General features: G+C 48.3%; 1 annotated feature.

The window, feature by feature from the left end:
- Window positions 1,061–1,255: a silencer, noted in NCBI's record as "fragment chr5:129979122-129979316 (GRCh37/hg19 assembly coordinates)". NCBI's record gives its function as "represses an EF-1alpha promoter that drives an FKBP-Casp9 reporter gene in an ReSE screen in K562 erythroleukemia cells {active_cell/tissue: K562}" and the evidence as "EXISTENCE:reporter gene assay evidence [ECO:0000049][PMID:32094911]".

The raw sequence follows: 1,530 nt of genomic DNA on the forward strand, positions 1-1,530 counted from the left end.
ATAAACTCCAGACACACCATCTTTAAGAACTGTAACACTCACCGCGAGGGTCCACTGCTTCATTCTTGAAGTCAGCGAGACCAAGAACCCACCAAAAGGAACCAATTCTGGACACGCCACCACAGCTGAGAATGTGCTGGGTCCAACTTAAAGCCAGCACATCTAAGAGTCTCATCCAAGGCTCATGACATACCACTTGGGTATGGCTGCTGGTTATTCATGGCCCAATTATTCTTTAGTCAGCAGGTGATGCATTCTGCCAAGACTTGGTTCTTCCCTTCAAGGCAGCAGGTTCCCTTCTGGTCCAGGGTGTGTCTAGAAATGCTGTTTGTGAGCTAGGGACTGGAATGGGGCCTCGAGACACTGACTCTTGCCCTCTCTTACTGTGGTTGAGCTGTTATCCAAGATGCAAAACAAAGTCCTTTTTACTCTTTCCTCTCCTCTCCTCTCCTCAAACAGAAGAAAGGGGTATCTTTTGGAGACACCAGCTGTGCAGCCTGGGGCTTGGCGAGAGATAACACAAGCACTCCTTTAGCTGCCCCGGCTGGTGTCTCTGTAGGTCACTGGTTCTGAGACCAGCTCAGCACTAGAACCTGCAATCCTTGTGGCCTAGACTGCCTTTCAAGTTTATTTCAAGCCTGAGAGCACTTCAGCCCATGGTGCCAAGGCTTGCTGCAACTCAACTTCCAACCACTGGAAAGGGTGATTCCTCTCTCTCTAGGGCTAGTCTAAATGCTCCCTTCATGGGCAGACATCAGCTGAGGTTAGCCCAGCTCTGCCTTCCACTGTGACAGGGCAGCACGCACTAGGTTCTATGCAAAGTCTCACTGCCCAGACCAGCTCGGTTGTGGAAACCCCAACCCAGTGGCACTAGAAGAATAAAGACACAGACACAGAAATAGAGTGCAAAGTGGGGTCAGGGGGCTAACAGCCTTCAGAGCTGAGAGCCTTGAACAGAGTTTGACCCACCTATTTATTGACAGTAAACCATGATAAACATCATTTCTGCAGTTTATAAATTAACTAAAAGTATTCTTATGGAGAATAAAGGGACAGGCTCTGGCTTGTTATCTGCAGCAGGAACATCTCCTTAAGGCAAAGATCGCTCATGCCATTGTTTCTGGTTTAGGAATGCCTTGAGCGGTTTTTCTGTCCTGGGTGGGCCAGGTGTTCCTTGCCCTCATTCCAGTAAACCAGCAACCTCCAGCGTGTGCGTCATAGCTATCACAAGCATGTCACAGTGCTGCAGAGATCTTGTTTATGGCCAGTTTCTCATGGCCTGTTTATAGCCAGGCTTGGGGCCTATTCCCAGCATCTCATGATTTCTGCACTCTCCCTCTCTCAAGCGCACAGGTTTCTCTGCACCATGTGGCCACTGTGGGGCAAATGGGAAAGGACTGGCATCAGCAATTCAAGACTGACTTTCTTACCATCTTCAGTTCCTCTTTCAGTGATATGAAGTTAAAATCAGGTACTGTGAGTGCTCACCTGATTTTTGGTTCTTATGGAGATGCTTTTTTTTTATATAGG

Source organism: Homo sapiens, chromosome 5, assembly GCF_000001405.40.
Source record: "Homo sapiens chromosome 5, GRCh38.p14 Primary Assembly".
Taxonomy (NCBI): Eukaryota; Metazoa; Chordata; class Mammalia; order Primates; family Hominidae; genus Homo; species Homo sapiens.